Consider the following 13,286-nt stretch of genomic DNA (forward strand, 5'->3'; position numbering starts at 1 on the left):
CAGTCCCAGCAGGCCGCGGGCGGGGGCGGGGCCTCCGGGGAGAATTCGGGGGAGGGGCGGGGCCTCCGGGAAGCAATCAGGGCAGGGGCGGGGCGTCCGGGGAGTGGGGCGGGGCTCCCGGTTCCAGGCGAGTTCGCAGCTGCGCGCCGGGTCCTGGAGGCCGAGGCCGCTCCCGCCCGTTGTCCCCGCAGTCCCCGACGGGAGCGCCATGGCCCAGCCGCCGCCCGACGTGGAGGGGGACGACTGTCTCCCCGCGTACCGCCACCTCTTCTGCCCGGACCTGCTGCGGTGAGCGGGGCCTGGGAAGCGAGCGCAGCCTTGGTGCGGGGTCCGGTCCGCGGGCGCCGGCGCCCCCACGTGGTCCCCGAGGGCTCGCGTGTTAGGAAACCTGTCTTGCCTGGCTCCTTTCTTTCTTTTTTCTTTCTTTTTTTTTTTTTGAGACGGAATCTCGCTGTGTCGCCCAGGCTGGAGTGCAGTGGCACGATCTCCGCTCACTGCAAACTCTGCCTCCCGGGTTCAAGCGATTCTCCTGCCTCAGCCCGGCTAATTTTTATTTTTAGTAGAGAGGGGGTGTCACCGTGTTGGTCAGGCTCTTTTCGAACTCCTGACCTCAGGTGATCCACCCGCCTCGGCTTCCCAAAGTGCTGGGATTTACAGGCGTGAGCCACCGCGCCCGGCCCAACCTGGCCTCTTTCTTAACAGAAAATTTTAGGTTGAAATCATTTTTCCGGAAGACCCAGAAGGCCCAGGAATGCCAGGTTTTGCCCAGCAGCTCTTCATTTTCCTGCAAACGCCTTGGTGTTCACAAGAGAAGGCAGCCCGGGCAAAGGTCGATCCTCCCCGGTCACCTGCCCTCACTCGGCTAATGGGCGGATCCTTTTTTTTTTTTCCTTTTCTTTTTTTCAATTGGCAACATTTTCAAGTTTCTATTAAAATTTTGATCTTTTGCCAGGAGCAGTGGCTCACGCCTGTAATCCCAGCTCTTTGGGAGGCCGAAGCGGGTAGATCACCAGAGGTCAGGAGTTCGAGACCAGCCTGGCCAACATGGTGAAACCCCGTCTCTGCTAAAAATACAAAAAATTAGCCGGGTGTGGTGGCGCACACCTGTAATCCCAACTACTTGGGAGGCTGAGGCAGGAGAATCACTTGAACTCGGGAGGTGGAGGTTGCAGTGAGCCGAGATCGCACCATTGCACTGGGCAACAAGAGTGAAACTCCATCTCAAAAAAAGAAAACAAGTTTTAAATTATGTTCTCCAAGGACAGGTATTGACAATTCTCTCTGAGTGTTCTGCAGGAAAAAAAAAAAGTTTTTTTTCGAAACGGAGTCTCATTCTGGGTTGAAGCAATTCTCCTGCCTCAGCCTCCCAATTCTCCTGCTTCAGCCTCAGTGCGCCCAAGTGGGACTATAGGCACACAATACCACGCTGGGCTAATTGTATTTCTAGTAGAGGTGAGTGTCACCATGTTGGTCAGGCTGGTCTGGAACTCCTGACCTCAGATGATCCACCTGCCTCGGCCTCCCAAAGTGCTGGGATGACAGGAGTGAGACGCTGCACCTGGCCCAAAATTAATCTTTAATAATTAAGAATAGGAAAGGCAACTTGGAGATCAGCAAAAGTTTGCCATCCATCTGGTACAGTTTGTGCCAGTCATACCGATCAGTACACATTTAATGCGTACAAGAAAATCTCTAATAAATAAAAAAGCCATATTATCCCGACGTAGCTTGCTGAATCTCAGGTATCATATTTGATATTAGTGCCATGCAGGGCTTAGGAGAGAGGAAATTATAACCTCTATCTTGTTTAAGCCAGGGTATTTTTCTCTCTTGTATCTACTTCTGTCCATTTCTGTCAAAAGACACAGAAATACCCTTTCCCCCACTGCACTTTGCAAGTTTGTGTCAGCACAAGTTCAGGACCAGCCTGAGCAACAAAACGATACCCCTCTCTAGAAAAACTAGATGAAAAATTAGCTGGGCACTCTGGCATGCACCTGTAGTCCCAGCTACTGGGGAGGCTGAAGCAGGAGGATCCTTCTAGCCCAAGAGGTCAAGGCGGCAGTGAGCCGTGATGGTGCCACTGCACTCCAACCTGGATGACGTAGCAAGAACCTGTCTCAAAATAAATAAATAGGCCCGGTGTGGTGGCTCATGCCTGTAATCCCAGCACTTTGGGAGGCCGAGGTGGGTGGATCACAAGGTCAGGAGATCGAGACCATCCTGGCTAACACGGTGAAACCTCATCTCTACTAAAAATACAAAAAATTAGCTGGGCGTGGTGGCAGGTGCCTGTAGTCCCAGCTACTCTGGAGGCTGAGGCAGGAGAATGGTGTGAACCTGGGAGGAGGAGTTTGCAGTGAGCCTAGATCATGCCACTGCACTCCAGCCTGGGCGACAGAGCGAGACTCCATCTCAAAAAAAATAAAAAATAAATAAATAAATTAAATAAAATACTATAATTTTATGAATTTTCATTTTATTTATTTATTTATTTTTTAAGACCATGTTTCGCTCTTGTTGCCCAGGCTGGAGTGCAATGGCGCAATTTTGGCTCACCACAACCTCCGCCTCCTGGGTTCAAGTGATTCTCCTGCCTCAGCCTCCCAAGTAGCTGGGATTACAGGCATGCACCACCACACCCGGCTAATTTTTTATATTTTTAGTAGAGACGGGGTTTCTCCATGTTGGTCAGGCTGGTCTCGAACTCCCGACCTCAGGTGATCCGCCCGCCTTGGCCTCCTAAAGTGCTGTGATTAGAGGTGTGAGCCAAGGCACCTGGCCGAATTTTCATTTTAAATCATTGCCGTATAGCAATATGGGAGGTGTATTTTAACAGGGCTCTTTTATTTTTTATTTATTTTTATTTTATTTTATTTATACATATTTTTTGAGACGGAGTCTTGCTCTTTTGCCCAGGCTGGAGTGCAGTGGTGCGATCTCGGCTCACTGCAACATCTGCCTCCCGGGTTCAAGCTATTCTCCTGCCTCAGCCTCCCAAGTAGCTAGGACTACAGGCACCCACCACCACGCCCAGCTGATTTTTGTATTTTTAGTAGAGACGAGGTTTTACCATATTGTCCAAGCTGGTCTCGATCTCCTGACCTTGTGGCCCACCCACCTTGGCCTTCCAAAGTGCTGGGAGCCACCGGCCCGGCCCAATAGGGCTCTTTTAAAAGAGCCTCCTTTTTTATTCTCAGGGACAAAGTGGCCTTCATCACAGGAGGCGGCTCTGGGATTGGGTTCCGGATTGCTGAGATTTTCATGCGGTGAGACTGCTCTGTGTCCCTTCCCTGCTCCTCGCTTCTCCCTGCCCGGGCCCTGCTGGATGCCCGACCCCTGGAAAGATGTTGGTGGGAGGTAGATGTCCCCTGCTCACCTACCCGACAGGATCCAGGTGCCTGCCAGAGGGACTGGGGAGCGGTCGAGGATTGCCCTGGGGGGAGTCAGGACTTCAAGGCCCCTACAGGTCAGTGGAGATTGTGTGGCTCTGGTCTGGGGCCTGCTGGGACCTCGAGAGTCAGGGCTGTGTCGGGCCCCAGTGCTGGCGCCCTGCAGAGCACATTTTCTCCTGGGACACAATTCTGTGGCTTCAGGCCAGGGTCAGCAACTTATCCCACCTGACAGTGGCTAGAGTTAGGCTGGGGTGGGGGAAAGGGACCCTTCCTCAGTTCCCCTGAGGCCCCTGCTTTTCAGACCAAAAAGGTGAGTCCCACAGGAAGAGATATGGCCTTTCCACTGGTGGCTTTGTGCTCAGGGCATCTGAGGACCAGATGGGACATTGCAGCTCCAGTGGGACCTGCCTAGCAGGGGTAGCTACCTTTATGGTTATTGTGGGCAAGCAACCCCCGAACCAGAAGAGCCGAGAAACCAAAGAACAAGGCAGACAGATCCCGTTTGTCTGTGTCAGGTGATTTTACCAGGGAATTTGTGGGCAGAAGCGTAGTCTTGGGTGGCTGTGAGACGGGCGTCTCCATGCTGTTACCCCCAGGCCCAGGGCTTCTATACCACAGGGAAAGGGGTCCTGCTTCAGAGGGAGTGTGTAGGAATTTGTTTAGGATAACATCAAGGTGGTTTTGACCTAAAGGCAGGACTTCTTTGTGCTCTTTCGCAAGAACAGTAGATAAGCTGGAAATCCTAGCGGCATTCCTGGAACCAGGGTTCATAGAGGCCAACGTGGTGGATTCGCATCCACGTGGTCAGGAAGGGGAGCAGGGAGCACCCCGCTTCAGAACAGTCCTCCACGCCAGCCCCACAGGGAGAAGGGGGTGGAGAATGTGGGCCCAGCAGGCCCCAGGCAGATGTGTGGGCTGGGCGTCTGTGGCTCACAGCTGTCTCTGTACCTGGTGTTTGGGGCAGGACCCGCAGGCCTGTGCGGTGGGATGTCCCATGCCAGAAACCCCGGGGTGGGCACCACCTGAGGTCCCTCCAGAGTACCTCAGTCCTGTTCACGCCCCTGTGCCCTCTGCCAGCTGGGCCTTCAGCCTGGACTGGTACTTCCGCCTGAGAGACTCCTGCTCAGGAGCTGGGCAGATGCCCCGGGAGTGCCCCTCGCCCACACTGCCCTCACACCTGCTTCTGGTTTTGCAGGCACGGCTGCCATACGGTGATTGCCAGTAGGAGCCTGCCGCGAGTGCTGACGGTGAGAGGGCCTCTCCCATGGTCCCCTGTTCGGGTGGCTGTGGGGGGGCTGGGGCTGGGCCTGGGCCAGGAGAGTCCAGAGGCTATGGGGATGTTGGCACCAAAACTTTTTTTTTCTGAGACGGGAGTCTCGCTCTGTCACCCAGGCTGAAGTGTGGTGGTGCGATCTCGGCTCACTGCAGCCTCCACCTCCCAGGATCAAGCGATTCTCCTGCCTCAGCCTCCGGAGTAGCTGGGACTACAGGTGCCCGCCACCACGCCTGGCTAATTTTTGCATTTTTTTGGTAGAGATGGGTTTTCACCACGTTGACCAGGCTGGTCTCGAATTCCTGACCTCAGGTGATCCGCCCACCTCAGCCTCCCAAAGTGCCAGGATTACAGGTGTGAACCACTGTGCCCGGCCGGCACCTCAGCCTCCCAAAGTGCCAGGATTACAGGTGTGAATCACTGTGCCCGGCCGGCACCTCAGCCTCCCAAAGTGCCAGGATTACAGGTGTGAACCACTGTGCCCAGCCGGCACCAAAACTTGCACCTATCCTAAATATGGAGCTTCAGTGTAAGTGGCCTCCCAGAGACATCTTTGACTTTTTAAAAAATCTAGTTATTGGGTTCTGGGAGGGACCTTCCTGTTTGGGGGTAATGTGGCCCCAAGAAAGACCTCTGGGCTCACCTGGGTTATTTAGGTGGTCCGTGCGTCCCACCTACTGGAGCCCTCGACCTGGGAGGAGAGTCTCACCTGTGCCACCTCTGGTCTGCAGCAGGGGCAGGACATGGGTGACAGTGGCCTGGAGGGCGACGCAGAGGGAGGATTCTAGGACAGGTGGCAGGTGGGGGGAGAGCGTGGCAGGTTCCCACAAACATCCACTGGGGTCGTGGGCACTTGCAGGCTGTGCTTCCCCAGAGTGGGGTCCAGCAGCAAACCCAGGGTCCCCGAGGAACCCGGAAGCATCGTCCTCTGCAGATTCCAAAGGCCTTTTCTCCAGGCCGAGGCTGCAGGGCTGCTGTCTGCCTCTTTACCTGGCTTCTAGGCCGCCAGGAAGCTGGCTGGGGCCACCGGCCGGCGCTGCCTCCCTCTCTCTATGGACGTCCGAGCGCCCCCAGCTGTCATGGCCGCCGTGGACCAGGCTCTGAAGGAGTTTGGCAGAATCGACATTCTCATTAACTGTGAGTCGGTGCTGAGTGAGGTTGGTGGCTTCTCACAGGTTGGTGGTACCATTTGGAGGCCCTAGAACTCTGGTCATGGGGTGGGGACCATGCCAGGGAACCTAGCTGCCTGTGCTGGGGTGGGCTGCACCCCATCCAGGTACCTGAGGCCAAGACTCAGGCTCCGGCCCCCTGTCTCCGGCCCCATCTCCGGCCCCCTGTCTCCGGGCCCCTGTCTCCGGGCCTCTGTCTCCGGGCTCTGTCTCCGGGCCTCTGTCTTCGGCCGCATCTCCGGCCCCCTGTCTCTGGGCCTCTGTCTCCGGGCGTCTCTCTCCGGCCCCATCTCCGGCCCCCTGTCTCCGGGCCTCTGTCTCCGGCCCCATCTCCGGCCCCCTGTCTCCGGGCCCCTGTCTCCAGGCCTCTGTCTCCGGCCCCCTGTCTCCGGGCCCCTGTCTCCGGGCCTCTGTCTCCGGCCCCCTGTCTCCGGGCCCCTGTCTCCGGGCCTCTGTCTCCGGCCCTCTGTCTCCGGGCCCCTGTCTCCGGGCCCCTGTCTCCAGCCCCCTGTCTCCGGACCTCTGTCTCCGGGCCCCTGTCTCCGGGCCTCTGTCTCCGGCCCCCTGTCTCCGGGCCTCTGTCTCCGGGCCTCTGTCTCCGGCCCCCTGTCTCCGGCCCCCTGTCTCCGGGCCTCTGTCTCCGGGCCTCTGTCTCCGGCCCCCTGTCTCTGGGCCTCTGTCTCCGGCCCCATCTCCGGCCCCCTGTCTCCGGGCTTCTGTCTCTGGCCCTCTGTCTCTGGCCCTCTGTCTCCAGGCCTTTGTGTCCCGCCTTCTGTCTCTGGCCCTCTGTCTCCGGCCTGACTCCGCTTCTCTGGGTGGCAGCAGGTCAGCACAGCTGCAGCCCAAGTGGACGCCATGAACACAGCTCAATGGTAGAGTCGGGTGCCCTTGTGTCCTGAAATTCCGTCTTTAAAAAAAAAAGTAATAGCCTTTTTTTTTTTTTTAGACAGCATCTCACTCTGTCACCCAGGCTGGTGTGATCATGGCTTACTGCAGCCTCCACCTTCTGGGCTCAAGCCATCCTCCTGCCCCAGCCTCCTGAGGAGCTGGGACTACAGACGTGTGCCATCACGCCTGGCTAATTTTTATATTTTTTATTTTTTGTAGAGACAGGGTCTTAGTGTGTGTTGCTCAGGCCAGTCTCAAACTCCTAGGCTCAAGCAATCTTCCTGCCTTGGCCTCCCAAAATGCTGGGATTACAAGCAAGAGTCATCAATAAAATAGAAGCTAGCCTGGCCTAGCTTTTTTTTTTTTTTTAGAGGGAGTTTCGCTCTTGTTGCCCAGGCTGGAGTACCATGGTACAATCTCAGCTTACAGCACCCTCCGCCTCCCGGGTTCAAGCAATTCTCCCGTCTCAGCCTCCCAAGTAGCTGGGATTACAGGCGCCCGCTACCACACCTGGCTAATTTTTGTATTTTTAATAGAGATGGGGTTTCATCATATTGTTTAGACTGGTCTCGAACTCTTGATCTCAGGTGATCCGCCCGCCTTGGCTTCCGAAAGTGCTGGGATTACAGGCGTGAGCCGCCGCGCCTGGCCCCCAGCTTTTATTTTTATTTCTTTATTTTTTATTTTTATTGATTTTTATTTTTATTTTTTGAGAGAGTCTTGCTGTGTCGCCCAGGCTGGAGTGCAGTGGCGCAATCTTGGCTCACTGCAAGCTCCGCCTCCCGGGTTCATGCCATTCTCCTGCCTCAGTCCCCCAGTAGCTGGGACTACAGGTGCCTGCCACCACGCCTGGCTAACTTTTTGTATTTTTACTAGAGATGGGGTTTCACCATGTTAGCCAGGATGGTCTCGATCTCCTGACCTCGTGATCCGCCCGCCTCAGCCTCCCAAAGTGCTGGGATTACAGGCGTGAGCCACCACGCCTGGCCGATTTTTTTTTTTAAATCACAGTTTTAGGTTTATAGAATAATTAATAGTATATGGAATTCCATACTCCCACCTACAGTTTTCCCTGTTAACATCTTGCGTTTGTTACAATTGATGAACCAACACTGGTTTCACTCTGCAGAAATTCCCTTTTAAAAACATCCTGTGTATTAGTTTCCTGGGCTAACAGAGTACTACGACCTGTGTGGGTAAAACAACCGAAATATAATCTCCCAGTTCTGGAGGCCAGAACGTCCAAGGGGAAGGCGTCGGCAGAGCTATGCTCTCTGAAGGCCCCAGGGGAGAGCCTCTTCCTGCCTTCTGCGTGGCTTCGGGTACTGCCATAGCCCTTGGCCCTCCCGGGCTCGGAGACCGTCGCTGCACTGTCTGCCACTGTCTTCCCGTGGCGTGTGTCTGTGTGTCCTCTTCCCTTGTTATAAGGATGCTGGTCATTGGATTTAGGGCTCACCCTAATTCGTTGTGACTTCAGTGTAATTCGATTATCTCTGCAACCCACCCCATTTCCAAACAAGGCCACAGTCGCAGGTACGGAGCCAGGGCTTCAGCATGTCTTCTCTTCTCGGGGACACAGTGCAGCCAGGACGCCCGTCTTGCTCTGGTCATTTTGGAATTTATCCTAGGGCATGGGTCTCCTCCCTGTGCCACAGGGCACCTGGGCTCCCTCCTGCACCCTCCGCTCTGCCCACCTGGCCACCACCCACTTGGCATCCCTCTCCCCAGGCTCCAGCAGCTCCTGCGGTCTCCCATTCTGCAGGTGCGGCCGGGAACTTCCTGTGCCCCGCTGGCGCCTTGTCCTTCAACGCCTTCAAGACCGTGATGGACATCGATACCAGCGGCACCTTCAATGTGTCTCGTGTGCTCTATGAGAAGTTCTTCCGGGTGGGTGCCTCGTGCGCTCTGTGAGAAGTTCTTCCGGGTGGGTGCCTCGTGCGCTCTGTGAGAAGTTCTTCCGGGTGGGTGCCTTGTGCGCTCTGTGAGAAGTTCTTCCGGGTGGGTGTACTCCCAGCGGGGGCCTCCCCCTGACGGCCGCCCGCTCCCTGCCCTGGGCCTCCCCATGACGGCCGCCCGCTCCCTGCCCTGGGCCTCCCCCTGACGGCCGCCCGCTCCCTGCCCCGGGCCTCCCCCTGACAGCCACCCGCTCACTGTCCTGTGACCTCCCCCGACACCCGCCCGCTCACTGCCCCGGGCCTTGTGTGTTGCAGGACCACGGAGGGGTGATCGTGAACATCACTGCCACCCTGGGGAACCGGGGGCAGGCGCTCCAGGTGCATGCAGGCTCCGCCAAGGCCGCTGTGGGTATGACCACCCCCCCCCGCCCAGGTTTGCCCACGTGGGTCCCCAATGGGCCGTCTGCTTCCATCCCAGGAGGCCAGCAGTCTCCACTTGAAGCTGAGCCCAGCTGCAGGCAGCGAGACCTGGCCTTGGCCCTGCGCCCTCGCAGAGGGCAGAGCGGCCCTTTCATATCCAACTTTCTTCTGTGCAGACGCGATGACGCGGCACTTGGCTGTGGAGTGGGGTCCCCAAAACATCCGCGTCAACAGCCTCGCCCCTGGCCCCATCAGTGGCACAGAGGGGCTCCGGCGACTGGGTAAGGCTCTCAGGGAGCCCAGGCCTCCCACAGATCCTCTCCTGGGGCACAGGGTGCCCATGAAGCTTCCAGAACCTTGGCAGGGTGTATGTTGAAAAGCCCTGTGCTGGTTCCATGGTGGCAACTATGTTCTGTGCCTGGCCTGATCCTGCTCCATGCTAGGCCTTGGTGACACTGACTGTGTCCTTGCTGTTCCCAGATGCCTCTCAGGGAATGAGCTGGGGGAGAGGGGAGGGTGCTGGGTCTTGGGGCTCACGGGGCCTGAGCCTTCTGCTGCCCTCCAGGTGGCCCTCAGGCCAGCCTGAGCACCAAGGTCACTGCCAGCCCGCTGCAGAGGCTGGGGAACAAGACCGAGATCGCCCACAGCGTGCTCTACCTGGCCAGCCCTCTGGCTTCCTACGTGACGGGGGCCGTGCTGGTGGCCGATGGCGGGGCATGGTTGACGTTCCCAAACGGTGTCAAAGGGCTGCCGGATTTCGCATCCTTCTCTGCTAAGCTCTAGGTGAGGTACTGCTCCCGCTTCTTGGGGTCATCTGTGTCCTTGGACGCTGGTCACTGCATGGGCAGGTCTCTGCGGGACCCACGGGGCTGGCGTCTCCTTTGTCCCCATCCTCCCGGCCCCTGCGCCAGCCTGCCCACACATGGGTGCTGCCCAGTGGGGCTGAGCAGGAGGCGGGCGCTGGTGTACTTGCTCTTCTGTAGCGGCCTCGGCCTCTGCCGGCATTTCTGGCAGGTGCTGGGTGGCCGAGGCAGCCGAGGTGTTTTAGGGGGAAGCCGTCCTCAGCCGGCTACTAAGTTCTGAAACTCCTGCAGGAATCTTCCGGCCGCTGCTTCCTGCCGCCTCACTCAGCCAGGTGGAGAGCACCAATCTGAACCAGCAATGCCTGCAGCCCAGCCCCTCCTCTGAACACTCAGCTATTACTGCGCTTTCCCTCCCCACGGCCCCAACTCCAGGGCAGGAGCAACTGGACAGTGGGCCTGGCCCGTGGAGCTGCCACGCAGGTGCCTGAGGGCCAGGTGCCACGCAGGTGTCTGAGGACCAGGTGCCACGCAGGTGGTGGGGGTACAGACAAGATGCTGGGATGTCCCCTGCCCCATGGTCAAGGGTGTCCTGCCTGCCTGGGTCCAGGGCCTGAGGGAGCCACATGGATCCCGAGACTTGTGTTCTCTTGGCTGAAAACACTGAGGTGCTCCCATCTGTGCGTGGCCCATGAGCTGGGATGGTCCTCCAGCTGCCCACAAGGTCCGCCCCTCTGTCTCTGCACCACCTGTTTGCATAAACACACTTTGCTACAATCTTGCTAGTGCGTTTTCTTAAAAGATAATCTATTTACTGTAAAAATAAATTGGACTTTGCAAAAGCTTTTAGAAGGAAAAGAAAGAGGATTAAAGAGAATTGCTGGTGATCCTATCGTTTAGGGGTTGTGTTTCCTTTCTGTCTTTTCTGTGATGTTTACTTATTATTAGTAGTAGTTTTGTTTTCTTTCTTTTTTTTTTTTTTTTGAGACGGCGTCTCGCTCTGTCGCCCAGGCTGGAGAGCAGTGGCGCAGTCTCGGCTCACTGCAAGCTCCGCCTCCCGGGTTCACGCCGTTCTCCTGCCGCAGCCTCCGGAGTAGCTGGGACTACAGGTGCCCACCACCACGCCTGGCTAATTTTTGTATTTTTAGTAGAGATGGGTTTTCACCTTGTTAGCCAGGATGGTCTCGATCTCCTGACCTCATGATCTGCCCGCTTTGGCCTCCCAAAGTGCTGGGATTACAGGCGTGAGCCACTGCACCTGGCTTTATTTTTTATTTTTAATTTTAATTTTTATTTTTTTATTTTTTGAGATGGAGTCTCGCTCTGTTGCCCAGGCTGGAGTGCAGTGGTGCGATCTTGGCTCACTGCAAGCTCCACCTCCCGGGTTCACGCTATTCTCCTGCCTCAGCCTCCCTAGTAGCTGGGACTACAGGCGCCCGCCCCCACGCCCGGCTAATTTTTTGTATTTTTAGTAGAGACGGGGTTTCACCATAATAGCCAGGATGGTCTCAATCTCCTGACCTTGTGATCCGCCTGCCTCGGCCTCCCAAAGTGCTGGGATTACAGGCGTGAGCCACCGCATCTGGCCTATTATTTTTTTTGAGAGTGTTTCGCTCTTGTTGCCCAGGCGGGAGTGCAGTGGTGCGATCTCAGCTCACTGCAACCTCCGCCTCCCAGGTTCAAGCGATTCTCCTGCCTCAGCTTCTCGAGTAGCTGGGATTACAGGCGCCCGCCACCATGACCGGCTAATTTTGTATTTTTAGTAGAGACGGGGTTTCACCATGTTAGCCCAGGCTGGTCTTGAACTCCCAACCTCAGGTGATCCGCCCGCCTCAGCCTCCCAAAGTGCTGGGATCACAGGCGTGAGCCACCACGCCAGGCCTTCTGTGACGTTTAGAACACTCTTCCTGCCTCATGCTGGAAGCCCCAGTCTACAGGCAGGGTGCTGCTCTCTTGGCAGAGGCCGCGTGCTCAGATGCAGCCGACACTGAATGTTGGGCCCAGGACCAGCCAGGCCACTGGTTGCCTCTCTCCTGGGTTTGGTCACTGCCACAGCTTTCCTCCTCTGTCGACATGGCCCCCAGCCCTGCTGCACGTGGGAGGTGCTGAGCAGCAGGAGGCTGGAGGGAGGTGTGTGGCTGTGCCCACCAGGGCCCCCATGGCTGCCCTCACAGGAGGGGAGCAGCTCCCATCAGGTATGCCCCTCAGCCCTGCGGTCCCCACTCTGTTCCTCCGAGCTCCCAGCTCACTGTCACACCAGACCCTGAATGTATTCAGGCTTTTACTTCCTGACAAGGAGGAAAAAAGATTTGTTTTTTGTTTTGTTTTGTTTTTGTCAGAGACAGGGTCTGGCTCTGTCAGCCAGGCTGGAGTGCAGTGGCACAAACATAACTCACTGCACCCTCCAAACTCCTGGGCTAAAGCGATCCTCCCACCTCAGCCTCCTGGGTACCTGGGACCACAGGCACACACCGCCATGCCTGGATGTTTTTTGTATTTTTTGTAGAGACAAGGTCTTGCCATGTTGCCCAGGCTGGTCTTGTTTTTTTTTTTTTTTTTTGAGATGGAGTCTCGCTCTGTCACCCAGGCTGGAGTGCAGTGGCGCCATCTCAGCTCACTGCACCCTCTGCCTCCTGGGTTCAAGTGATTCTCCTGCCTCAGCCTCCCAAGTAGCTGGGCCTACAGGTGCATGCCACCACACCCAGCTAATTTTTTGTATTTTACTAGAGACGAGGTTTCACAGTGTTGCCCAGGCTGGTCTCAAACTCCTGAGCTCAGGCAATCCACCTACCTCGTCCTCCTAAAGTGCTGGAATTACAGGCGTAAGCCACCACGCCCGGCTGCCCAGGCTGGTCTTGAACTCCTGGCCTCGTGTGATCTGCCCGCCTCAGGACTGCAGGCGTGAGCCACGGCGCCTGGCCGAGGTGGAGAGAAGATCTGTATATTGTAGTTGACTCCTGCCCCGTTTGGAAAATACAGTGTGGAGCTTATAACTGCTGAGTTGGCTTTTTAGGTGGCTGAGGGTTGGCCTCACCTTATGAATGTGGCCACTCCCACAGCTGCCGTGGCCTGGGAGAGGGGCTGCTTCCAGAAAATGTGTCAGCAGACCATCCATTGTGGGTTCCTGACTGGCACCGACCAGCATGGCCACGACCCACACACACCCTGTGTGCTAAGTGCTCAGCGAATTCCTTCCAGTGACTGCATGGGCTTCGGGACCCCCTCTGGTGCCAGGGAACCTGGGGAACCTCAAAGGCAGATCCTGGGTCCCTCCACAGGCTCTGAGGGAGGGATGTGGTGGAGCTCAGCGAGGAAGCTGGGATGCGGGGCCCTGGGCCGGGAGTATCTTCCCTCCTTCCCTTCCCTCCACCAGCCTCTGTGAGCCTGGGCCTGCCCTGCTGCCTCCAGATCCCAGCCCCAGCAGCCGCCTCCACAAGTCGTGGCCC

The 13,286-nt window shown here is 56.9% G+C and overlaps 1 protein-coding gene across 1 annotated transcript; it reads left to right on the forward strand.

Annotated features, from left to right (window-relative positions):
- The first annotated feature begins 129 nt into the window (after positions 1-129).
- DECR2 (2,4-dienoyl-CoA reductase 2) lies at positions 130-10,727 on the forward strand. The gene is made up of 9 exons (NM_020664.4): positions 130-288; positions 3,201-3,269; positions 4,591-4,642; positions 5,670-5,805; positions 8,488-8,612; positions 8,936-9,029; positions 9,217-9,321; positions 9,606-9,823; positions 10,135-10,727. The coding sequence occupies exons 1-8, from the start codon at positions 209-211 to the stop codon at positions 9,821-9,823; spliced, it is 879 nt and encodes a 292-aa protein (NP_065715.1). The 5' UTR covers positions 130-208; the 3' UTR covers positions 10,135-10,727.
- The last annotated feature ends 2,559 nt before the right edge of the window (positions 10,728-13,286 follow it).

The sequence above is a fragment of the Homo sapiens genome, chromosome 16, assembly GCF_000001405.40.
Source record: "Homo sapiens chromosome 16, GRCh38.p14 Primary Assembly".
Classification (NCBI taxonomy): Eukaryota; Metazoa; Chordata; class Mammalia; order Primates; family Hominidae; genus Homo; species Homo sapiens.